The sequence below is a fragment of the Homo sapiens genome, chromosome X (assembly GCF_000001405.40).
Source record: "Homo sapiens chromosome X, GRCh38.p14 Primary Assembly".
NCBI classification, from domain to species: domain Eukaryota; kingdom Metazoa; phylum Chordata; class Mammalia; order Primates; family Hominidae; genus Homo; species Homo sapiens.
In genome coordinates, this window is record NC_000023.11 from 39,365,207 (window position 1) to 39,392,069 (window position 26,863).

Here is a 26,863-nt window from a genome sequence, read left to right on the forward strand (position 1 = left end):
ACTAGATGAGTCTCCCTAAACCAGCCATTTTAGTAGTCTACTTTGCCAGAAGGGGAGAAAGACTGTCTCCCTAGACTGGTAATAGTTAAAGAGTTTAGGAAGTGTTTGACGGTCTTCGGATGAGAAGGAGAAGCACAAAGTGGAGACACCAGGACTAAGGTTAAAAACCTCATGGATGAGTCGAGAAAAGTTACAGAATTACAGCTGGCAGAGCTCAAGCATTTGCACAGCAATGAAAAGTCACAGGGGAGAAAGGGAATCCTCTCTATGGAGAGAAGCACGCTGGCAGTGGAAGTGCATCAGATTTAACAACATTGCCACACACACACACACAAAATCCTGTACTGCTGAGAACTCGTTAGTTACATCGGATGTGACATATGGGGGGGTAATATAGTCTGGAGCCTAGATTTCTTTAATTAACCAATAGCAATCAGGAGTGAGGGCAATTCCAGGGGAATGGTAATTGTCTGGAAGTTCTGGATGCCTGCAGGCTGAGCCGCAGGCCAAAAACCCAGCCAGCTCTGTCCCCGGGAAGCACGCTGAGCCAAGGTCACAACTGCCATTTTAAACAGGGTCTTTTTTCAAAAACGTTTAGATCACAGCTGATTGTTGTGGGTGAGGATTTCCTCTGTGATACATACAACCTTGGGAGACTGTGTGTGCTGTTTGGGGCATCCCAAAGTACCACAGTAGTGAACATACAACCTGTTGGGGCTCTAGGGACCAAATTGTTCAGTCGCTGGGTGATCAGTGACTGGGAGAGGTCAAGTTGATTCAGAATTCTTTCATTTAACAAGTAGTTACTGTATAACTAGTACTGTAAGTCCTCACTTAATGTTGTCAATAGAGTCTTGGAAATTGACTTTAAGTGAAAGGACATACAGCAGGTCCTTGAATAAGCTCAATGTTATTTTTAGTAACGTTGATAAGAAAAAATAATTGGTTTCATTATACATCGTTTCACTTATATATATCAGGTTGGAGGCCGGGGCTAGATATTTAGGAAGCATTTTTAAATATTAGAAAAGAAATGCAAAAAACAAAACAAAAAAAAGGCCCAGTGCAGTGGCTCACACCTGTAATTATCACGCTTTGGGAGGTCGAGGAGGGCAGTTGGCTTGAGCCCAAGTGTTTGAGACCAGCCTGGGCAACATGGTGAAACCCTGTCTCTACAAAAAAAAAAAAAAAATTACTCAGGCAAGGTAAGGTGCTCCTGTAATCTCAGCTAACTGAGAGGCTGAGGTGAGAAGATCACCTAAGCCCAAGAGGTCGAGGCTGCAGTGAGCCAAGACTGCACCACTGCACTCCAACCTGGCCAGTGGAGTGAGACCTTGTCTCAAAAAAAAAAAAAAAGAAAGAAAGAAATGCAAATTTTTAATGTGGTGATAGCATCCACTATGATTGTAAACTCCTTGTGGGTATCTCATGCTCTGCAGGAACTAGGGGTTCAGTAAATGTCAGATTGAACTTAAGTTCATAGAGTAATGCCAACTAGACCACCAATGGGTTGCTTTAAAAAGTATTTTGATTGCAGGGAGAGGTGGCTCACACCTGTAATCCCAGCACTTTGGGAGGTCGAGGTGGGTGGATCACTTGAGGTCAGGAGTTCAAGACCAGCCTGGCCAACGTGGTGACACCCCGTCTCTACTAAAAATTCAAAAATTAGCTGGACATGATGGTGCACGCCTATAGTCCCAGCTACTCAGGAAGCCGAGGCAGGAGAATTGTTTGAACCCAGGAGGCAGAGGTTACAGTAAGCCGATATCATGCCACTGCACTCCAGCCTGGGTGACAGAGTGAGACTCTGTCTCAAAAAAATAAAAATAAAAATATTTTTATATCAGCTTTAATAAACTGATAAGAATGTCACATGAATTTTGGGACCGTAAACTGGTGCTTCTAAAGTGATAGAAGTTTTCTCCCCTCTCTTTAAAGTTGTTGACATGTCTCCCTTACAATCTTGCTTATATTCTCCATCTGCCCGGTGAGCTCTTTGCCCTGATAATGCAAAAGTAAACAAACCCCAAAGGGGCCCTCTCTGGATCATCACAAATTCCAAATAAGAACAGTCTGAATTAATGAGTTTTTTAAATTTACTTTTCTAAGTGGAGTTGAAAGATAAACAACTCTCATTTGTCCGGGCCACAGGACAGTGAGTGTGGAACATTCCCAGGCTTCAGTCAGGATACTTAACATCACTGAGGAGTTAAGCCCCTAGAGAGGAAAAATATTATGTGGTTCTGGATCCCTGAACTTCTAAAGAGAGCCTCAAATATTAACTTGAACTTGGAAGGAGGTCGAACCTTTGTTCCTGTTCTAGGCTGTGCCCTCTGGAAGCAGAGATGACGTTTGTGATATAAGATGGCTGTTAGAAGTCCACACCTGTGAAAGGGAGGGAGAGGAAGCAGGAGTGAGCAGAGGTCAGCAAGGAGTGGGACTCAAGCTGCCCTGCACACCTGGTTAAGATTTAGCCAACCCAGTGAAGTGCTGTGGACAAAGTTCGCCTCTAGAAAGTCTCATGTCGGGTAGAGAAATGGCTAGACCTTTATACTCCTCCACTGCTCAGTGGGGGACGTGGACTACCCAAGGGAAAGGCATGACCTAGGGCCAGACAGCTCCCAGCAGCTGAGATGCTCCCCAGAAGGAACTGACCGCTGGAGGCTGCCTGCTGACCATGTTCCTCGCAACAGGGCAGGGAAGCCCTCCTTGAAGGGGAAGCTGGGAAGTGCATCTGTCTATCACAGGCCCAGGGGCCTAAGTGCTTCTAAGTGCTGCCCAGGGCTTGCTGACTACTCCAAGCCTCCTAGCTGGACACACTGAGGCATCCACTGAGCACCAGGCAGAACTACATAGAAATTGTTTTTCTTCCCCACATGGCCCCTTCTTCCCTCCATCCTTTATCAGACCCTGTTTCTTTCTCCACCTTTCCTTTAGGAAATAATACTCATTTAAAAAAACTATAAAACACCAACTCACTGCTCCAGGCATTGAGGCTAAGCAGGGATAAACATGAACTAGTCCCTGCTCTCAAAGAGCTTATAGTCTAGAGGAGAAAATGATATTGAACCCACAAAAATTAATTGCTTAATTGCAGGTTAAATAAGTATATGAAAGAGGCTCATGCAATGCTATAAGTGCACTGTCTATTAACCTGTTAAAGAGACTAATGATGGGTATGACTTATGGGGTGTTTGTTATATTCCAAGCACTGTTCTAAGAAAACTGTCTATGCTAACATCTATTTCTCTCAGGAAGCTCAATAGGTTGGTTTTATTCCCACCCCATGTTGAGGCTTAGAGAGAGTAAGTAACTTGCTCACTATTGCTCAGGTAGTAAGTGGTGGAGGAGGCTTTGAACTGACATAGTCTAGCTTCAGAATCCATTGTCTTAACCTGTATGCTGCACTGTCTCTCCCAATTATTTGATACAGACAACAACCTATTGGGACCTCATGGAATAGACAGCAAGAGGAGAGGTTGGTGAGCACACAGAAGTGCTGGGGAAGACCCCAAGGAGGAGAGGGGCTTGGAAAAACAAACAGATGGGCAGGAAGAGAAAAGGGACACTTCAGGCAAGAAAACATCATGAGCAAGTCTTAGAAGAAATATTGGCAAGACTTGTGTCTTAGTTTAGAGGTGGGGATTTTAGTGTAAGTAGTTAATTTGAGAGATAATTCTAAAAGTTATCTCCCAATAATTCTTGTTTTTTTTAGATGGAGTCTCACTCTGTCCCCAGGCTGGAGTGCAGTGGTGCAATCTCGGCTCACTGCAACCTCTGCCTCCCAGGTTCAAGTGATTCTCTTGCCTCAGCCTCCCGAGTAGCTGGGACTACAGGCACACACCACCACACCCGGCTAATTTTTGTATTTTAGTAGAGATAGGGTTTCACCATGTTGGCCAGGATGGTTTTGATCTCCTGACCTCATGATCTGTCCGCCTCAGCCTCCCAAAGTGCTGGGATTACAGGCGTGAGCCACCATGCCCAGCCCCAATAATTCTTTATGTAGAAGAGTGGGGGAAAAGAGACAGGGCAGGCAGCCAACCAAGGGTGTGTTATCAAGCTAGTTACCACTGTGGGCAACTGGAGAGCAATTCTGGGAAACAGTATGTAGAACACACCTCAGTTATCCAAACCAAGGGTCAAGAGGGTTGGGGTATGTATCCACCAGATCCCATCAGACATTGGTTAAAGGCTCCTCCCAGGAAATGGGGAGGACATGGGGACCTCAATTCCCTGGCACCTCCCTCTTGCACAGGCAGAGCAGGCTCCAGTGACCAAAAGTCCTTAGGCAGAGATGCAGGTGCTGGCAGTTGGAAGTCCAACCCGCATACACAGAAATGTTAAGTACTGTAGGAGCATGGTTGGGATACTGACAGCTCACAGTAGGACACTTTCTGGGGATAGTGCGGAAAGTAGCTCTGCTAGAGAGGGGAGAATGGACTTTATGATAGGCTGAATAATTGCTTCCAAAGATATTCACATTCTAATCCCCAGAACCTGTGAATACGTTACATTACAGGGCAAAAGAGACTTTGCAGATGTGATTAATTTAAGGACCTTGAGTTGGAGAGATCATTTTGGATTATCTGGGTAGATTGGATGTAATCACAAGGGTGCTTACAAGAGGAGATAGAAGATCAGAGTCTGTAGCAGGAGGTGTGATGACAGAAGCAAGAGGTTGGAGTGATATGAGGAAGTTAGAAAAGGCAAGGATATGGGTTCACCCCTCAGAGCCTCCAGAAGGAACCAGCCTTCCTGGTACCTTAACTTAAGCCTTGTGAGACTGATTTTAGACATCTGGCCTCCAGAACTGTAAGAGAGCAAATATGTGTTGTTTTAAGTCACCAAGTTTGTGGTAAGTTGTTACAGCAGCAACAAGAAATGAATACAGGCCTCTTCCATCAAGTTACTGCATGCCGTATGGTAAGAAGTTTATCTCTGCCATTGGCATCTTGTGTTTGTGCAGTACTTAAATTTAGAAAAAAATTTCCCTGTGGCACAACATCAATGCTTCGGGGTAGGGAAAGAAGGTTTTGCCTCTGTTTTTCCCAGAGAACCAAGGCTCAGAGAAGCCAAAGGGTTTTTCCTGGGCTGCTTAGAACCTTGGCAGAGGAAACAACCTCTTTAGCTAGAACCCTTCTGCCCTGCTCTTGGCAGTGCACGGCCTGCATGCTGTGGACCTTCTAACTCAGAAGCAAGTCTTTAGCCTCCTGATGCCACCACTCCAGCTGCAGCTCTGCCTGGGACTGGGAAGACCCTCAAGGGACTGAGGCCCCATCCTTTGGAATCATAGACCTGGTGTAGGCAGCCATGCTAGAACCCCTCTCAGGGGCGATCTTAGACTGAACAATTCTCTGTGCCCACCCGCCCTTGACCTCCATTTGTTGACCTTCTTGATCCATCAGACTGCAAAAAGAAACTTTTCATGAGTGCACAGTATCACAGGAAAGGCTTCCCAAATTTTGATCTCCTTCATCTCTCCCAGAGTAGTGGCAGAAGAGATAGAGCTGCTACTAGTCAGCCAAGTGATCTTGGGAAAGCCTCATTACATCTCTGAGGCTCAATTTCCTGGTGAGATAATCATTTCTGGTTCACCTTGCAAAAAAAGGGACAGTTAAGAGTCACTTCTGTAGGGTCAAATAAGCAAAAGCTCACCACAGAGTAATTTACCTGCCAGTTGTTAGAGTGCCTGAATTCCTACTATTAGATATTCAGATCTTTGTAGAGATGATCTTCTATTTTCAAGGGTTCCCCAACAAAATGAAATTACCCTGAGTGGTAGTTAGACCTCAAGTTGCGATAAGCTATCATTTTAACTCACGATTATTGTATTCTTTCTAACCTCGGCTGCTGCCTGAATTTAGAACATAAAAGGAAAAGAATCTCTTTGGTAGGAAGATGGGAAGAGGTTCTTTGTAAAGACAGGCAAGGAGATACCAAGCAAAGTCTTCATACTGCCTTGCAATTTTGTCCTGAGCTAGTCTTCAGACCAAGCTCTAAACTCAGACTAGTTGGCTCAGTGGCTTATATCTCTTGGCCAATCATCTATTCTTAGTGAGTGTTCCTTCCTAATGTAGCCTCATTGGAAACTCATCTGTAAATCCAAATGCCATTTTACACGAGTGTCTATGCATTTGAGGTGAAGGAAGTTTTGTGTAATAAAATCTCTCAATAAATCTGAGGCCCCCTTCCCCTGCATTTATGTACTGGAAAAGTCAAACTATAGAAGTAAGTGAAGTTTGGTTAGTATCATAGCTGGTGTCCTCAAGAAAACAGAGGCTGAGGCCAGCTTGCTGATGCTTTATGAGGCAAGTGACAGGACAGTAGGAGTGAAGGGAAAGAAGAAGTGAGGCAGGGAAAAAACGAAAATGAACACAAGGTGGTACATTTCACAAAATGCACAGCTGACCACTCAGTCATCATGGACTTCTTCAAAGAAGCTATGAAACCACTGCATTTGAAACCAGCCAATGAGAGTGAAGGGCCCTGATACCAGTCCCTTCCTACCACTTGTCTCTCTCTTGTCACAGCTCACTCCAGAGTGGTGTTAATTCCCCCACATATCCCAGCTGTGTTCCTTACCTCTCCAGGAGCTTTTAGAGAAGCCAAGTCTTCATAATTTGAAACTAGTGCTGGAGACCCTGCAGTGGGTAAGAAGAAATCAGGCTGAAGCCCAGTGAAACTAGCGAAGTGGCACTTCCCAACTGCAGAAAGCAAAGCAGTGGCTGAAGCCGCTCTGACTAGACAGCACAAGTGACCGAGAAAGAGGGGTTGGGGTAGACGGGGCCCTGCAGAACTGGGATGGTGCTTAAACCTGGTCTGGAATGATTATTGAGCACCAATTTAGAAAATCAGAAAAGAATAGTCATTAAAGATTCTCCTATCTAATCCCTATACAGCGTCAATGCCTAAAGCACCACCTTTCTTCCCCTTTTGATGCCCTAAACTATCTGATGATGCTGGAAAGTTCTAGAGTTTAACATCCAAATTACTTGCGCAGATGGTCTGTCATGTGTGGAAGTGACTCAACAATCCTTCACTGAACCACATTATCATAAGTATGAGTTTGAAGAAAATAGTCCCTTAGCCCCAGGGCAATGCATCCTTTAAGTTATCAAAGCATCGTTTGTAGACGGCCTTCATCCTCTCCTGGAATGTTAGCAGAGTGAGGCAAGCAAAGCTTGAATTAGCATGTCTGTGTTTCTGTTTGTGCTCTTGTTATCAAATATATTGTCATGAGTACATGCCTGAGCCAAGAAGCTACAGGAAGAAAGATGTAAGGAGCATAGCCAACTCACCCTAGTTATCCCAAGCAAAGCCATTCTACATCATCTGATAACCTCCCAAGCAGACCCTCAGACATATGATTGAGCCTAGCCAAGGTGAGCAGAACCATCTGGTTGCCCCACAGCTGACTGCAGCCACATGAGCAAACCCAGCTGAGACCTGCTGAGTCCTGCCCAGAGTGGCCCAGAGTGGCTGAAACTTACAGACCTGGAAATGAAATAAATGTTTATTATTATATGCCACTGAGATTTTAAGGAGGTTTTTGTTACGCAGTATTATTGTGGCAATAGCTGGCAGATATAACTCCATCCATCCCAAGTTGAAGTCTCTCTCTCTGTGAATTTCCATTGGCTGTCTCTGTATCAGATTTTCTCACTATCCTAATTCTTTCATATTCACAAGTGTCACCTCCCAGACCTAACTGGTGGACTCTTGATTGTTTAAGTTTACATTTCTGTTTCCTTACAGATTATTTAACAGCCACACTGAGCATCTAGTAGACCTTCAAAATGTTGATGTGATTTCTAAGCCCACATGGATTTCCAATGCTACCACTATTTGCTTTTCATAGTTTTACAATGTGAGAACTAGAAAAGAACTCAGAGCAAGTCCCTCCTTTTACAGATGAGAAAGCTGAGGCTTGGAGAAATTAAATTACTTTCCCACAGCCACATAGCTGGCTGGAAGCACAGCTAGACATACTGGCCAGGTTTCTTGGTTGGGATTCCAGTGTTCCTTCCCCCAGAAGTGAAGCCCTAATCAATCAGTTTCCTTAATTGACTGGCAGAGGCTGCCTGGCACCAGTGTGATGAGAAGGATTCTGAGGCTCAATCTGGACATAGTAGGAGACAGTCCCATGATCAATGAGCCAAATCTTCCAGAAGTAAGGAAGTAGACATCACTATCTCTGCCAAATCTGTTTATTGGTTAACCTGTTGGCTTATATTTATGATAAAGATGCCATTTTGTTTATTTCACTTTCATCTAGCTCCTGGTTTGAAGTACACTTTGGAAACCTCCGAAGGCTCTGGTTCATTCCTTTCTGTGTGTGTCCAAGATAAGCAATCCCTTCCCCTTGCTGCAAGGCAGCATTTTAAAAACCCTTCTTCTAGTGTTACCTTTCGAGGTAGTGAACACACATAAATGAAGCCCCAAACCAAAGGAAGGTTTCAGATCTGAAAAAATCAATGTCAAAATCTGGCATTGTACACTGACATTGAAGCAATGGGGACATCATACACTGGAGGGACAGGCTGTTGACTTTTCTGCCTTCCCTGAAAAGTTGGGTACTCCTTGCCTCAGTCAGTGTCATTCATCCCCAGGTTAAGAGGCAGGGACTGAATGCAGCACAATCAGCCTTGAACTACATTTAAGGGAGCTGGTAATCAGGCCTGCTGAGGAGCCATGGGCCTCTGGTAGGGAAATCTCATGAAAGTAGGATGAAACAGGGGCTATATTTTTATTTCTTTCACCTAAGAAAATTGAAGAATCCTTTCCTAGTGTCCTTTTTTGCATGGATCTTAACTTAATGTCACTTCCTCAGGAAAACCCTCCCCGATGGCCAAGATAGGGTCAGGAGCCCCATTGCTTGTCTTTTTTCCTTTGTGGCAAGGATATTTCATTGAATCTTAGATCCATCAATATAAGACCTCCCAATATTTTATGTACCAAGCAGGGGAAAAAATGCCACCATTTAAATTATAACTCAATGCTTTCATGCCACTTAGAATTTTTATTGTATAGTTATTAAAAGAGTACTTTAAAATGTATTTATACAGATTTGTATGATATAGCACTCTTGTGCAAAGGAAAATATACTTGAAATTAACTGGTTGAGGTAATGAGGCTTAACTTTCTTCACATGTAGAATTCAAATATTTGGAACCACTTTGTGAGTTGGTGTTGAAGCTTGTGTGCTGCCACCCAGGCTTGGTCTTTTCACTATTGCCACCACACCATCCATCACCTCTCTTTCTACCCCAAACCACCAGGATATACAAATGAGTAACACCCTAGTAAAGAGACAGTCCACACACAAAAATCAATACAATGCAAGAGCATATCTATGAAAACTATAGTAGAAGTATGCACTGCTCTGGATAAAAAAAGGGAGGAAATTTTTAATTTGATTGAAGATATCTGGAAAGTCTCGAGGGCGAGACATGGCATTCGAAGGAGGGGAGAACCTCCAAAGCTTGAGATGGAGGAGTGGCATTTCATGGGGGAGGGGAGGAATAGCATAAACCAAATGTGGTGCTCTGTAAGTAATATATTCTCACAATAATGGTTGATTCCTTTTAGTTAGAAAATAAAATGAGCAATCTGAGTTTCATTCCATGGGGAAAAGGAAGTCACTGAAAGTTCTCCAGCAAGGGAATGTCTTGCTCAGCAACACCCTTTAAAAGGGTAACTTCTTGGGAGTGAATAGGGCAGCGTGATGTGAACCAAGAAGGGCAGCAAGGAAGCAATTAGGAGGGGCATTAAGGGGCTGGGTGCAGTGGCTCTCGCCTGTAATCCTAACACTTTGGGAAGTGGAGGTGGGAGGATTGCTTGAGCCTAGGAGTTCAAGACCAGCCTGGGCAATTATAAGGAGATCCCACCTCTACAAAGAATACAAAAAAGTTATCCGGATGTGGGGGTACATGTTTGTGGTGCCAGCTACTGAGGAGGCTGAGAGAGAAAGATCGCCTGAGGAGGTTGAGGCTGCAGTGAGCCATGATCACGCCACTACACTCCAGCCTGGGTGACAGAGCAAGACCCTGTCTCAAGAAAAAAAGAGAGAGAAGTATTAAGGGCCTAATCGAGGGCAGGACTGGTAGGAATATAAACAAAGACCAATCCATTTGAGCCACATTGTGCAAGGAAAACCAAATGATTAATCACAGGGTATCAGAGGCAGGCAAAAGGACAAGAAGAGGGAGCCCACTGAACAAGTCCCACAGATGTTTAAATCCAAATGACCGGGACCACGTGGGGAAAAACAGCAGGCCCTGGCAATGTGGATCTAGGCTTAGGAGAAGGGACTAAATTTGGCAATGAACGAAATGGCCCAGGCAGAGGGCTATAGTCACAAAGAAGGTAGCTCCAGATATGAGAAAAGTGGGGGCCCTCATGCATGAGGCTTGGGTTCTTCCATCAGCCAGTAACATCACGTGCCATCAAAATCTCTCACAGAGGCACAACACACTGGAGAGCAGCCACCATCCCCGTGGTGTCCAAAGAGATCACTCTTTCTTCTGTGAGCCACTAGAGAAGGTAGTTGGCTTGCACTGTGTCAGCACTTTATATTGAAAAAAAAAACAATAATAAGCTGTGTTTAATATTAAAGTCATATGCAGTGGAAGGAGACAGTCACATCAGGAGAGATAGAAACAGAGGAGCCTAGAGAAACCAAGGGAAACTCTCCCATCCCAGGCAATCAGTGTGGAGTCACCACCATCCCCCGCCACCTAAATTGTTCTCCCTCTCACACTCACTCACATATAGCCATGGTATATGGCTGATCCCAAAAGGGCTGCTTAGCTCCAGCCATCATATCTGTATTTGCAGTCAAGATAGAAGACAGAGAGGTGATGCCAGTTCTTTTAGTTTAAGTAGCTTCAAAAGCAGAGCCCCAAACAAAAACTTTGAGTGCACATAGTTTATTTGGTAACTGATCCCTGTATGCGCAAGAGGAAGCAAGGAGAATGAGAGAGTAAAGACGAAAATGACAATATAAAGGCATATTAAAAAGGTTACTGCCTGGGGCCCTAGAGGCTCAATTGCACCCAGACCTCCTGATAACTGTACACAATGCCTCCCAGAAGTGTGCCCCCAAAGGACAGGTGGCTGGAGCATCTATCCACTAGGCCGTGTTCCCCATCGATTAAGGGTCGATCCCAAGGGCATGAATCTCACACTTCCAAGTTTTGTTTTTATGCAGGCCCAGTGGGCTTCCATAGTGTCAGAGAAGGCCCTGGAGCAGAGAGCAGAAAGATGCACAGCACATACTTGAGACTGGATGCTGTCTTGCATGAGGTGAATTGGAACACACGGAACTGTCCACCACAGCTGTGACTGAAGTCAGAGGTGATTAGACTGTGGGCATGGGACACAGGGCATGCCACCGCCATCTGCCACATCAACAGACCTCCCAGTGTCTTATTGCTGGCAGAAGGAGAGGCTGAGAAATGAACATTTTAGCTCTTCCAGCCTCTAGAATAGAAGCAGAGTGGGGAGAAAGGGATTGGAAAGGGCTGTTAGCGGAGCAAAAAATATATAAGATTTCAGATTCACTAAGGACATGTTAGATTAGATCATCTACTGTGAATGCATCATTTTATAAATGAGAAAGGAACTGAGTCCTGGGTAGAGTGAGTAACTTGCCTGCCCCAATCCTGTAGTTGGAGTAGAGCTGGGGTTTGAAGCAAGCCTTCCAGGTTTGAAGATCTTTCCACCTCTCCATAATAACCCTCTTAGGCTGCAAAAGAATGTCTTGGCTGAAAATCTGTTTAAAAAAAGAAAATAAAAAAGCTCCTGAATAACTAAGGTGGGCTCTGTTGTCACAAGACCTGGAACAATAAGCCTAGGCATTTGGACTTGGTCTGAGAGACAATGGGGAGCCATTGTCGAATCTTAAACAGGATCATGGCAATTTGAGTTGCTTGTAGGTAGATATTATATAAATATAAGGAGTTATTTCTCTGTTGATTATGGCTGCTGATTCAGCCAAGGGGAAATGGAGTTCTGGACAGGCTTGTACCTCCAGCAGTGACTGCAGGTGCTGTCAAAAGGAGGTGCAGGCTGCTGTCTGACATTCTCAAAAGGCCCCTGCTCTCCTGAGAATGGCTTGATGCTTATTGCTAATAACAAGCCTGGCAGCCAGCTGCAGCTTTCACTCAAAATTCTCTGGCTTTCAGTAATCAAAGCCAGGCCTGGGTTGTTCCTTGGCCCTAGACTGCAAAAGGAATTTCCTTTATTTTTGAACATGGAGAGAATAAAAAGAAGTACAAGTTGTTTTATAAGACAAGTAGGGCAGCAATTTGAAATAGATATTTAGGCATCTCTTAGGGATTAACATCGGGACTCATTTAAGGGCTTGGAGTGTTAATAAGGATGAGATGTATTTATTTTTCCCTGGGTTCTTTTTTAGGAATCCCTGGGCAGTGTTCTGGAATTGATCTATACTGGCTCAAATTTCACATGTCCCCCCATTTTCCATGCAGACTCTCCCACCCCTCCTTTTGACTGAGTTGTGCCTCCTATTAACTTGGAGAAAATGCCCCAACCAGGGTGCACAATTGGGCATAATTGGTACCCAGAAATACTGTTCACTGGGTTGAGGCAGCTCAGCAAACAAAATGGCCTCCTTTTACCTAGGGAATCTGGTTTGAAAATTGGACATTAAGTTACACTTCTAATTGAAATGAATTTGATGGTTTCAGAACAGTCCCCAGTGATCCCAGCCCACATCATAAAAACCACCATAGGCAAATTGGCACCATTCAGCCTTGGCTCAAACAGGCTAGGGAGTAAAAGAAGATGTAAACTGAATTTGTGGTTGCTTTTATCTTCAGATAGACAGGCTGGGGTTGGGGGAGCTTCCAGAGGGGAATTCTCGGAGTGGATTACATCATTTTCCTGACAGTCTGGGAGGCAGTGGGGTATAGAAGAAAAGCACTAGATTAAGAGTCTACCCTTGTCTCAGACAGTAATTCATGTTCATTCTTTGGTAAGTCATAACATTTTTTCATGCCTCAGTTTCCTTGTCTGCAAAATGGGAAAACTAACATCTCCTTGCCTCATGGTTGGTATTGGGCCCAGGCAATGACAGCTGAATGGTTTACCTAATGGACTGAAGAAGCCCTCAGAATCTAGGCCTTCTGATTGCTTGGCTGGTGTTCACCCCACCAGCTGACATCCAAAGGACAAGATGCTTGTCTGTCTTCCCAGGAAACTTGGCTGTGAGGTTCAATGATCTCAAAGCAAAGAACAATGACAAGACAAGAAGGGTACTAAAGGGTGGACACTGACCTGTCACCAAGGCACTCTGAGCCACCTCATTATTCACATCAGTTCCTTATTCATCTCAGGCATATCTACCTAAGCAACAACACACATGTATTTTGTACCAACTATGAAAGATGCCAGTTCTGTAATGCACATTCATGCCAGGCACCCTGCTAGGATATTCAAACCTTCCTCTCTGCAACCATGTCAGGTAGATTTTAATACTCCCATTTTATAAATAAGAAAAGTGAGGCACAGGAAGATCACACAGCTTAGCCGAGGTCACACAGCAGTATGTTATTGACTGGAAATGTCATATGCCATGGCCTGTCTTCCCACTCCACTGTGTTTTCAATCACTGTTCTAAGGGGAAAAGATAAAAATGAAGAAGACCCAATCCCCACTTTTAAGAAATTGATAGTCTAGCCACATATCTACACAGAAATATGTGTGCACAAGCAGAATAAAGGTCTGAGGGGGAGGAAAGAGAGATTATTAGTCAGCTATTGCTGCTGTAACAAACAACCCCACACCTCAATGATTAGAAAACAACAATTCTTGCTTACTTATTTTCAGGTTGGCCATGGGTCGGCTTATGTGGCATGGGTCCCACTGAGCAACTTTGGTTTTGGCTGCAGATCTGCTGGGCTTGGGTCCTTACTGTGGAATGGGTTCAGTTCAGCTAGTCATGGACCCACAAGTGAGAGTGGCCATTTACAGGGGAGAAGCTCTTCTCATGGTGCTGGCAGAGATACAAGAGGTAAAGCACAACCACATAAGCACATGGCAAGATGCTGCTTGGTTCATTTCTACTAACATCCTATTGGCTGAAGCATGTCACATGGCCATGCTCCAAAGTCAAGGGGGCAGAGCAAAGGGTAGAGAAGGATACAGAAGGGGTGAAGAATTGTGTCCAATAATCTATCCTACACCAGAAGGCTTCAGTTTTTACAGTAAAGTATCTGCATATTAATTTGAAATGATAAGCATGTATTATTTTTAAATTTAAAACTCCAATTTAAAAATACCATCAGCCTTCTCTATCCATGAGTTTCTCATTCACGGATTCAACCAACCAGGGATTGTAAATATTTTAAAATGAATTAAAAGTAACAATAGAACAATACAAATATTACAAATTAGAAAAACAATACAGTATAACAGTCATTTACAGTTGTCCCTTTGTAACCACAGGGATTGGTTCCAAGATCCCTGTGGATACCAAAAATCTCGATGTTCAAGTGCCTTATATAAAATGGTGTAGTATTTGCATATAACCTACACACATCCTCCCAGATACTTTAAATCATCTCTAGTTACTTATAATCCCTAAGATAATGTAAATATTATGTAAATAGTTGTTATAATGTATTGTTTTTAAATTTGTATTATTTTTCATTATGGTATTGTTATTTTTTACTGTTTCTTACAAATTTTTTAAAATGTATTTTTGATCCATGGATTTAACTGTGGATACGGAGGGTTGACAGTACATAGCATTTACATTGTATTAGGTATTATACATAATCTAGGGATAATTTAAAGTATATGGAGGATAAGCATAGGTTATATGCAAATACTGTACCATTTTATATAAGAGACTTGAGCATCCAAGGATTTTCCTACTTGAAGGGGACCTGCAATACATTGTAAAAACCATCTCAGGGAGGTTAGAATGAACATACCCCAAGGTAATATTTCCTAACCCATCTCCTATATGCCAATTAAAAAATTTACACACACACACACACACACAATACTACAATATAATGGTTGCTGTAACATAAATGTGTTTCCAATGCTATGAGAACCCATATGAGAGCCATTTTTCATTCATTCATTTATTCATTCAACAAATATCTATTTCATATTACTATGTGCATAGGCATTGGAAATGAAGAGAAAAACAAAATAGGACTGATCACTGTCATCGTGTAACTCAAAAGTCGAAAATAGGCTCTGAACATATACAACTGGAATGAATTAAAGGAGGGGTGGACAAAGATATGGAAACAAAAAAGATAAATAACTCATTTACATGAGGAGTATTGCAAAGGCTCCTAGGGGTTGTGTTCCAATATCCTTTCCTTAATTGACAGTCAGAATCCTGAATTGTAGCTGAACAATGGCTACCTCAGATAATGACAACAGTTTCCAACTTTCCTTGCAGCTAGCTATGGCCATTACATTTTGGGCAATAGCTATAAGTAGAAATGGTGTATGCAACTTCCAGAAAGTGCCCTTCTTTCCCCCTTATCTTTCCTGTTGGCCAGAATATGAATGTGATAATTGGAATCAGGGTAGCTGTCTTGGACCATAAGTGACTTTGAGAATGGAGACCATAGGGGATGAAACAAGATAAAAGGAGCCTGGGTCACTGAAGACTTTTTGGAGCAAAATAGCCAAACCCACTCTGTACTGCCTACCTCTGGGCATTTGTGTGAGCAAGAAACACACCTCTATCTTGTTTAAATCATTGTTATATTGAGCTTCTGTTATTTGCAGTTAAACTCACCCTAACAGATAAAGGAGTTCAGGGGCAGACCTCCCTACAAACGTGAGAATAAGCTGATACCTGAATGGTGAGTGGATAAAAAGTGCAGGTTAATCTCTTCCAAGAAGAAAGAACAGCATATGCAAAGGCCCAGAGGTGGGAGAACACAGGAATTTAGGGCAGATACAAAGGGGAAAGAGGTAAAGGATGGCCATTATGAGCTTAGATCCCATTCAGTTACCCATACATTTGTTCCCTACACCTCTCCTTTCCCCTGTTCTCCTTCCTTTCTTCCTACTTCCCTCTCTCCCTTTATTTCTTTCCCCATCACTCCATCCCTTCTCCCTCTCCCTCTCTGCCTTCATCCCTCCTTCCCTCTCTATCTACCTTTTTCACTTTTTTTTAGAGAAATATTTATTGAGTACCCACTGTGTGCCAGGCACTGTACTAGCCACTGGATGCACACCCTCATAGAACTGACAGTCTACTAGAGGGACAGATATCAATGCGAGAGGTGGGAGTGAGAGAAAGAGCATGTGTTGACTTCCTATGGCATATATGAGGAAGCACTGTTCAGATCCCCTTTCAGGGAAAGATTTGCTGCCCAACTACGAGAATTGCAGTTAGCTGACAGCCTACAGCTGTTGGCTTCAGCAGGGTCAGCCTCAGCTTTTGAGCTGAGGTCACATTCCTCTCAGAGCGGCCCTGGGCCAGCAGCTGAGCAAGGAGGTGGTATTCTCGGCTGGCCATTTCTGCCCAACAAAGGGCTGCTCTCATGGGCACCCTTTGCTCAGAGCTGCCACTAGGCTGACAGGAACTTTTCAAATCTGCATTGCGATCTTCCTGGAGAATCCAGCCTTCCATAGGCCTCAAGGCAGGTGAGAGCTCATCATAATCACTGGAGGAACCAAAGGAAGACCTAGTCTGTCTGGAGCACAGAGAGGGAAGGGAGAGTTCTGGCAATGAGACATGAACTACAACACCATGTGTGACTTAGGAGGAACTGGGGTTTTATCCTAAGTGCATTGAAATAATGCTGAGAGGTTTTTAAAATTCACTGTAACTGCTGCATGGATTGGAGAGGCCAGAATACCAGTTATGAGAAACTGCAGTCAATCAAGGGAATAGCTGGAGGGAGCTGCTTCTAGCTTGGTGGCTGCGGGAATGAAAAGCAGTGGAAGAGATGTCCTGGGAGTTTGTGGAGGGAGAATGAGCAGTACTTAGTAGTGACAGATTAGATCTTGGAGGGAGGAGGGTGATAGGAAGAAAAGTATCAAAGGCAAGCAACTGAGTAGAGGGATTTGCCCTTTCCTGAGATGATAACAGTTGCGAGAAAAGTAACAAATTCAGTGGTGAAAATCAAGAGCCGAATTGTGGCCATGTGGGTTTTGAGACTGTTGGATACACAAACCTGGAGTTGAAGACTGGTCTGGCCAGGAGATAAAAGGGAAGTTATCAACATGCCCAGGGTACTAGACGCCCCGGGAGCATATTAGGAAGCTTAAGGAACTGCCCCCTTCCCTCCAGGCCATCTTCTATTTCTTCTTACTTCTATGCTCCCAAAAGCGTCTTCTTCTTTTTTTTTTTTCTTTTTTTCTTTTCTTTTTTTTTTCTTTTTTAGACAGAGTCTCTCTCTGTTGCCCAGACTGGAGGGCAGTGGTGCAATCATGGCTCACTACAGCCTTAAATTCCTGGACTCAAGTGGTCCTCCTGCCTCAGCTGAGAACCTGGAACTACAGGCTCATGGCACCACTCCAAGCTCATTTTTAAATTTTTTGTAGAGATGGGGTCTCACTCTGTTGCCCAGGCTGATCTTGAACTTCTGGCCTCAAGCAATCGTCCTGCCTCAACCTCCTAAAGTGCTAGGATTACAGGGAGGAGCCACCGCACCCAGCCCCCAAAGCTTCTAAAGCCTTATTTCATTCCAGGGAATCTTCTCAGGTGGAGAGGAGACAGGGTGCTGAGAGAGGTCCTTGTACTCCCTACTCCCATCCTTAGCTTTGCCCTTCAACCAAAATACACTTTTGTATGGTGAGCCTTTTGAGTAATTGGTGCATTCTACCACCCTTACAGATAAGACTCTCTCTGTCCTTAGGATCAACTGCTTCCGAGGAGGAAGGTGTGCCTGCTCCAGGACAGCCCAGGGACTTCGGAGGGTTGCCCTTCTGCCTGCCTAACCCTAAAGTGCTCCCCATAAAACACTCTGCCTGCTAATATCTAGACTGCACATCACAGATATGCAGTAAACGTGTGTTGAATGTATGAGGTCATTTTATTATTTGGTTGCCCGATCAGTGTGTCTGTCATAAAGCCCATCTCTTCGATTTTGCCTTTCAGCATAGATGAAAACAAGCTGGCCATTATTTTCCAGGCAAGCACTTGTCAAATAAATGTTCCTCATAGAGATGTAGCTTGCTGCAGAGTGAAAAGCGTGGGAAGAGAGCCCCATCTTTCTCATCTGTATAAAACAGGATGACAATCCCCACACCACACACTTTACAACTGAGTTGGTATGAAGAGCTAACAAAAGTCCTCAGCCTAACAGTGCTTTGGGCTTTACAGAGAGACAGTGGGCTGATACACCATTGAGTTCTATTCCAACCCAAGTCTGATTCGTTGAGTGGAATAATCCCAGTTCCCCTCATTTTTCCTTAGATATGACACTTTGCAGCAAAACATTTGATGCCTGCAGGCTTTGGGAACTGGCAGTGATTCACAGACAGCAAGCAGGATGCTGGACATTGGTCAAACTTTGGCCCTGCACACCTTCTCCCACTACCAGTTATGCTGGTGAGGAATTTCCTCTTTCCCATTGTGTTATGTGGGTGGGTGGGATGGTACCTAAGGGGCCTCGCCACTCCCCATGGAAGCCAAAGAGTGTTCTCCTTCACTACCCTCATCCAGCAAAGGGCAGCTATGTGACCTCATCTTCTGAGAGGATCTTGAGCAGTGAGCAGAGTGACACACAGCCAGAAGAGGGTTTGCAGGACACTCCTTTGCCCCAAGAGCATTGTCCTGCACCAGCCTCTATAGTGCCTGCCACACAGCTGGGTTCCCACCCGGTGTTCCTGCCTCCCTGTCATTTATCTAAGCTCCCAATATCATCCTTTAACAGTCCCTTTTGCCCAAGGTAGCCAAGAGGCAGTTTCTGTCACTTTTGCCCCCCAAATTTCAAACAGATACAGGCAATTTCTGAAAGGGGCACTATGTTATCATCAATATCCAGCATCGCTGAAGAGGAGGATTAATTAGTGACAACCCTCTTACTTCACCTATCATTGGGGCGGTCCACAGAGGATTTATCCCTGAACCACTAATGAATTTTCCAACTGTCACAAAACAATGCAAATAAGTAAGATCCACATCTGCTGAACACCATCATGAGGTCAAACTGTGGGTAAATAAATACTTGCTTCAAGGAGAGGGTAAATCCTAAGGTGAGGAGTGACAGGGCTTTGTTTGCATAAACCCAGCAAGGTATTATGGGTAGGATATTAATTAAATCATGCTCCTGGGCCTCACGGATCCCCAGCTCCACGGCTTCAGCTTGTTGACAAACCGAACACAGGGCCCCCAGAGAGACCACTAACATTTTGATGAACAGGATTTGTTGGGGGTGATGTTTCCTAACTAGCGTTTTAATATAATTTTTGACGCTTCATCTGAGCAACCTGGAAAGAATATGCAGTTAAAAGAAACGGACAAACGTCAAATTTACAAGAGAAGAAACTACCATCTAATGTTAGTCCACTGGAATTACTTCCTGGGAATAATGTCTTGCTACCTTCACCCCACCCCAGGCCTTCCTGAGACCTCCTTTTTTACCCCTCTCCCTAAACCTGGGAGAACATCTCTGAATAACATCAAGGCTGCCTCAAGTTTAAATGAACTTTTAATGAGTTTTATAATCTTCCCAAGACCCTGTAAGTCTTTCCTTTTTGTTCTTCTTTCCTTTTTGAAGAAATTAACATGATGGCAGGTACTGTCTTCAGGGAAAGGGCTTTTATTTTCAGGTTAAAATAAAAGACCTCATCTCAGCTGGAATGGAAGATTGGTGATGAAAAGACCCTCTGTGGCCACCAGAAGTACCCGCTGTCCGAGAGATGCTGACCAAGAACGTTCAAGCTCCTTGTAATTGGTCTACCATCCCAACCATTCCCATCTTCATTTGCACTACACGGCCTCTTTCAGCTCAAAATTTCATGCTTCGTTTGAAGATTATAAAGCCTCTTTTATCTGAGAATATGCAGACAAATATGAACTAATTAATGTTCCTACCAGCCCCCTGGGAGTGTGCAATTGTCCTATGACCCACTAGCTTCCTGGGCATTCCCTGACGTTACACTGCTGCCCAGTATCAGGCATCTTTGCTAGTCCTCCCTCCCCTCACCACCCCCAATCAGCAACTGTCAACCCTGTTTCCTCCAAAATACCATTAGAATCTCCCCACTTCACACCATCTCTGCCTATTTCCAGCTGGTTGCTTGCATTGACTATGGAAACAGACCTCTCACTTCTTCTCTTGCCCCTTCCAATCTAATTACCCAATTCTCTGCCCAACAGGCAGAGGGAAATTACTAAGACATAAATCTGAAGAAATCCCTTTTTACCTGCAATGAGTCTCTCACCTAAAGCCCCTCCCTACTATTCCCATCCTCCCCTGCCTGACTTTTGGTTTCTCAAACATACCAAGATCTTTCCTGCCTCAAAACCTTTGCACATGCAGTTCCCTTTTCTAACACTTGGACAGGAAGGTAACCAATTATGGATGATGTTCTCCATGAGCTAAAGTCTAAAGACTTGTTTTAAGTCTCTGAGTTTTAAGGTAGTTTCTTATGCAGCTTTGTTGTGGCAACAACAGCATCAAACACTCCTTCTAATAAGAGCACGTGGATTTTATTTTAGAGATCTACCTCATCCACCCTTCATCCTCATGATTCTGGTGAGGATGACCCCACTCCTGGAGTGCAGGGTTGGGGCTCATCCTCCAGACGTAGCCAATCAGAGCATTCTATCCCTCTAGCCAGAAGAGCTGGGTCAGACTCTATATGTGACCCAAGCTAGGTCAACAAGATATATAATCCTGGAAATTTCCCTAGAAACGATTAGAAAGAAGAAAAAGTCTTTCTAACAGAGTTTCTGTGCTCCTAGGTGAGAAGACTACAGCTGTCACCGGGAAGAAAGAGCCTGCCTAAAAATCAGAGGGCAACGAAACTGAAAGGAAAGACACAGAAGTCTAATGGCATCAACTGAGTGCCTGGGCCCAGCTATTCCTGATGATTTACTCCTGGAGTTTCCGACTTTATACACCGACACATTCTCTTTTTTCTTAAGTTATTTAGACGCGGTTTTCAAGTCACTTGTGACTTCAAAACTCCTGACTTTTACAAGTTCCTGCTTGCCTCTAGTCCAGCCCCGACATTGTACTCCTGTCTTCAACTGTGTGTACCCTAAGTCCTTGCCTTAATTTTCTACCTATTTCTCTTGTGCTTCCAAGTCTGTAGCCTTATCTTTAGGGCCAGCCTATCCCTTCCCTCTTTCTAGAAATCAAATAGGAGGCAACAGCACCTTTCAGAAAACAAGAATGGAATCTCAAAGTCCCAACCTCTTTATACTTTTCCCATGATCAGTCTGCAACATTAAGACAAGGGAAAGTTTGAGCAAGGCAAATGGCATGATCTGGACGTGGCAGGAAAAAAATGGGACAGACTCCGTTCCAGTGCTTTGAAAATCTGTTGGTTGTAAGATCTGGAGAAGGAACTCAAGTTCCAATAAATGTCACTGAACAAATTGTACGATGTATGGAGCTGCCTAATGTTTCATCTGTTTGGATGAAATGGTTGTCTTTAAATAAGCTAGGTGCAAAGTTTCTAATAACCACTGTTTTTCAGCATGTCTCAGAGCTCATGTTGTTAATCAAGCAAGGTTAGCTTATTTTTATTGAGTAAAGGATGTGTTAAGAAAGGAATGGTTTTGCATTTTAAGCAAAATGGATGAATAATGAATGAATTTTAAGTAAATAAATAAAACCTTTAAGTGACTGTTTCTCTTTCAGAGAAGTCATTGATGGAAGCTATGTACTGATTATGATGATGCTGTCATTACTCTCAACATTCCTTCAATTCCTACTGTGAAAGGCAACCCTCTTTAGGTTGTACAAATTCTAGTTTGGTGGCTAATTAAGCCATGATACTAGTTTGAGATTTTTTAAAATCTTCATTCTCATCTCTCCCTCTCCTAGTGTTTGAGGACTGATCATTCCTGATCTTAGTAACAGAGTAATTCATGTTGGCAGGTGTCATTTAAGCCCTCGTAGCTTGTAACTTCCTGACACAATTTGGAGTTAGCCCATTCTGGCATTCTCCTGCTGGATATCACCTACATTCTTAAATCTTAATGATGTAAAATTATTCTACATTTTTAATGATCCGTTGGAGCTGTTTCCTCCAAACCATTAGCAATACAAGAGGTATATAGGAATTTGACTTATTTACAAACTCTGTACTATTCTTTCTAAACAGTTTCCAAGGAATACAAATGCACTACATATTGGTTACTAAAAACTGTTTGGGAATTGGATTCTTTAAATATTATGAAGAAATAGCTGATTTTCTGCAAGTTTGACTTTTTCTCAAAATGAAAGCATGTGCACACACACACAGAGGTGCAAAAGCTCCCCATCAGACAGATGCAAGGCACCACTCCATTAAGGCAGGCAGTGACTTGCTAATGATCTATATCAGCCCTCACCTATATGGTACCTACTAGCCACATTTGTGACTATCTAAATTTAAGCTTACATGAATTCAAATTGAATACAATTGAAAATTCACTTCCTCAGCCTCACTAGGCACATTTCAAGTGTTCAATAGCCATGTGTGATGAGTGGCTACTATCCTGGACAGCACAGACATCAAACGTTTCCATCATCTCAGAAAGTTCTATTAGATAAGGCTGAGAGGGAAAGAGCACAATCTGCCTTTGTCACTTAGTAAATGACTTGGGCAAGTTTCTTTACCTCTCTGAGCTCCCTTTTCCTTAGCTGTATGATGAGGATAATCATAGCTGTCTCACAATGGTTTTGTGTGAGAGAATTTAGGGAGCCCGTGTGTGTAGAAATGCCAAAGACAGGCCAGTGCTCTACTCCTTGCTTCCTGGGCTCCCCAAAAGGGAGCTGACTCCTCATCCCTCAACCTGGAGAACCAGTTCAGCTCTTCTTTTCACCAGAATCCTTTCCCTGCTTCCGACTCATCTTCTTTTTCTCAAAGCTGTTGTAACTGTATTGTTCTCACCTGCTTTGCCCAAGACAGATTCCCCAGTCCTCCCCATCAGTGTTTGGCATTTATTCTGGGTGTTCTACTAGTAATGCCCAGCCCCGGTCCTGGGCTTCCTGCTGTTTCTATTGCATCTCCCTAACTCTTACATCCACCCCAACTCAGTGTTTTTGGCCTTCCTCAGCAACCAGGAATCTAAACCACCCTCCACCCCATAGCACCCTATGGATGACGGAGCCTTAGTTCTTGATGGTGATGCAGACACCTTGAGGTGTGGCCATGACATTCACTCAGCCCTTGGCCTGGTAGCAGCAATTTTCCCTGATAAGGTCCCCAAACTGACCCTCAGTTGTCCCCTGCAGTCCCATTAGGGCCTGTGGAATTTACGACTTCCATACACAGCACCAGGAAGTTGAGGATGGCTCCACGTGCTAGCTCAGTCTCTTTGCCCTCTCTCTGCCTGTGGCAGATTGTATTTTCCAAAGATGACTGCACCAAAATATTCCACCCCATGTTATCTTCTTAAATGTGAAGTTCACACTAATTCTTCAAGAAATGGGGCCTCTGTTTACACCTGCTGAATCTTGGCAGGCCTATAATTATAGTGGTTATGATTCTAGTGATGCTATATGACTTCTGAGACCATAAAAAGACAATACAGCTTCCACCTGGTCCTATTGGAACAGTCATTCTTGGAACCAAGCCACCATGTTGTGAGAAAACCCAGCCCACATGGGAAGGTCACATGTAGGGATGACAGTCCCCACTGAGCCCCAGCCAATAGCCGGCATCAACTGCAAGACATGTGAGTAAGCGAACCCTCAGATGATTCCAGCCCCCAGCCTTTGAGCTGCCCCAACTGATGCTTTGTGGAACAGAGAAAAGCTGTCCCCATTGAGCTCTGCTCAGATTTCACATTTATGGTAAAAATCTATATGGTCCTTACTTTAAGTTACTAAATTTGGGGATGCTTTCTTTACATAGCAGTAGGTAATTAGAACACTGCCTGATCAAACTGCACTGCAACTTTTACTCGGCTGCTAACTATATGGCTATAGCCGAGCATCATGGGGCCACCGTGTCTGGCAGTCCCCACATCCGAGTTCCAAATGCGGAGCACAAAAGTCCCACTGTCACTGATCTTCCCTTCCACTCTCAGAATCTCAGTCTAGTATGGGGAAGCAAGGGTCGAACCATGTGCTTCCCCCGTCAGGGCAGATGGTTCTCTTCCTGCCTGGAAGGAATTCCCTCTACATAAAAGCCTCTTTCCACCAGGTATGGTGGCTCAAGCCTGTAATCCCAGCACTTTGGGAGGTGAAGTGGGCAGATCACCTGAGGTCAGGAGTTTGAGACCAGCCTGGCCAACATGGTGAAACCCCATCTCTACTAAAAATATAAAAATTAGCTGGGCATGGTGGTGGGCGCCTGTAATTCCAGCTACTCGGGAAGCTGAGGCAGGAGAATCACTTGAACTCGGGAGGCGGAGGTTGCCGTGAGCCGAGATCATGCCACTGCACTCCAGCCTGGGCAACAGAGTGGGACTCCATCTCAAAAAAGTAATAATAACAAAAAATTTTTAAAAAGTGTTCTTCTTCCCAAGAAAGCAGACATCAGACATCTTTCCCCCTTCATTGGGGCCTTAATTGCAGATGGGACTCTGGAAGAGATACTGACATAAGCATAAAAGTAGGTCCAAGAATATTTAACCTCTACATAAGAATTCAAATAAGCTATTGACCTTATGAGAGAGTCACAATGATGGACACCTTCAAAGGAAGGAGAAGCACCATGGAGGGCAGAGGAGAAAGACCATACCTGCTTGACTTGGTGTGAGAGGCATTCTAGATGTTATTGACATCATATAATAGACAGATGACAAGCATAGAAGCTCAGATTCACAAAATGCCTTAATCTTATTGCCTGCTTAAGATCTATTTATAATATTTTCTCCACATGCAGAGAGAACACTTTCTTCACCTTTCATTCCATTTCCATATGTTTAATTTTCCTTACCTGCAGGAAGCCCAGATCTGTGGAAGCTCCTCCCTTGAAAGAAATTTGCAATAATTTTATCATTCCTCGCAACAAGTCCATCCTCACAGTGAGCTGTCCTTTGACATTTATAAGGATGTGGATTTATCCATAAGCAATCCTATTTACATAGTCTCACTCATGTTCTTTGTCATTATAATTGCTAATAACACTATGTTTTAGAATTGGCAGAATGCTTCAATATCAGTGTAGCAGATGCTTATTGGTGTGGCTGCCCAGTCCTTATTCTTTAAAAATTGTCCATGTCATGCACAGGGTTTGCTTCCATCATACATAATACTCATGTTTTTGCCATATGACTCTACTTTCCTGACTGTAGATGTCTTGCCTGGGGGCAAATACATGATAAAAACTGAATGAGATTCTCTCTCTTCAAAATATGAATAGAGACATCCAGAAGCTGTAAGTTAGTTGTTGAGTTGCATTAATAACAGCATTTTGGTGGGAAGTTTTATTGTAGATGAGACAGTGAGCTCTGATGTCCAGGCCATTGTTGGGAAACCAAGTTGTGGTCCTGAATGACTACCCAAAGTGTTGGTGTAGTCTCCTTTCCCATGATCCATACTAATAATAGAGATGACCACAGGTTGGCACATGACCTGTCTGAGTTTGGGTTCCCCCAAAAGCAGATCCTGAGAAAGGAATTTGAATGCAAATAGTTTATTTAGGAAAGACCAATAAGGAAATGAGGAAGCATATTAATCAAGGTTCTTCAGATAAACAGAATAGGATGTTTGTATGCAGAGATAGAGATATAGAGAGAGACAGAGATAGAGATAGAGACAGGTTTATTTTAAGGAATTAGCTTACATGATCCTGGGTCCTGGCAAGTATAAAATCTTCTGGGCAGGCTGACAGGCTGGAGACCCAGGGAAGTGCTGATGTTGCTGTCTGGACTTGCCATAATCCAAGTTGGAAGGCAGTCTGGACGCAGATTCCTTCTTCCTCTGGGAACCTCAGGATTTTTAAGACCATCAGCTGGTTGTATGAGGCCCATCCACATAACAGGTTTCCCATTATGAAGAGTAATCTGCTATACTCAAAGTCTACTGATTTAAATATTTATCTCATTCAAAAAAAAAAATACCTTCACAAAACCATCTAGAGTAGTGTTTGTCCAAAAACTGGGTACTACAGAATAGCCAAATTGATATATAAAATTAAACATCACAGGAAGTGAGGCAAGGAAGGAAAGGCCACCAATAAAGGGTACATTATCAAGCAGGTTATCACTACAGGCAAGTGGAACATAATCACACTAGGGAACTCTGGAAGACAATGTAGAAAATACATCTTAGAGCCATTCTACCTGAAGAGTAAGAGAGCTGGGATATTTATCCACCCAATCCTGAAGGTCATTGGTTGAGGGTTGCTCTGGGGAATGGGTATCAGTCCTGCAAGCCTCCAGTCCTGCTGCAGGCGTAGTGGGCCACAGCAGCCAGAAAAAGCCCACAGGCTGCAAGACACAGCTTCCTGCAGTCAGAAATCAGGCTGGCATGCACAGGACTGGTAAATGCTAAGGGGAATGTGGGTGGGGTACTCACAGCATCAGCTACTTTGTCATAATCCAGAGAAAGATGATCTTTGTGACGTTAGATAATAATTAAAGAGACAAGGACCCCTCTGCATCATTCAACTGAAGATGTGTTACTCTGTACTCACTCTCTTAGTTCTTAAGATCTCACAGACCTGTTGGCAAGTATACTCCAGGACAGCAGGAGGAGACAGCATGAGAGAAGAGAAGCAGCTGAGGTCTTTGGTTCTC

General features: G+C 43.7%; 2 long non-coding RNA genes across 2 annotated transcripts; one reads left to right on the forward strand and one right to left on the reverse strand.

Moving 5' to 3' along the window:
* Positions 1-2,078: 2,078 nt before the first annotated feature.
* LINC01282 (long intergenic non-protein coding RNA 1282) lies at positions 2,079-26,568 on the reverse strand. The gene is made up of 6 exons (NR_110385.1): positions 26,408-26,568; positions 13,845-14,020; positions 11,656-11,776; positions 11,281-11,484; positions 2,307-2,385; positions 2,079-2,217 (listed from the first exon to the last, which is right to left on the reverse strand). It is a non-coding gene; the product is annotated as a long intergenic non-protein coding RNA 1282 (long non-coding RNA).
* LOC105373176 (uncharacterized) lies at positions 18,447-21,813 on the forward strand. Its single transcript, XR_949023.2, has 2 exons — positions 18,447-18,562; positions 20,924-21,813. It is a non-coding gene; the product is annotated as an uncharacterized LOC105373176 (long non-coding RNA).
* Positions 26,569-26,863: the final 295 nt, after the last annotated feature.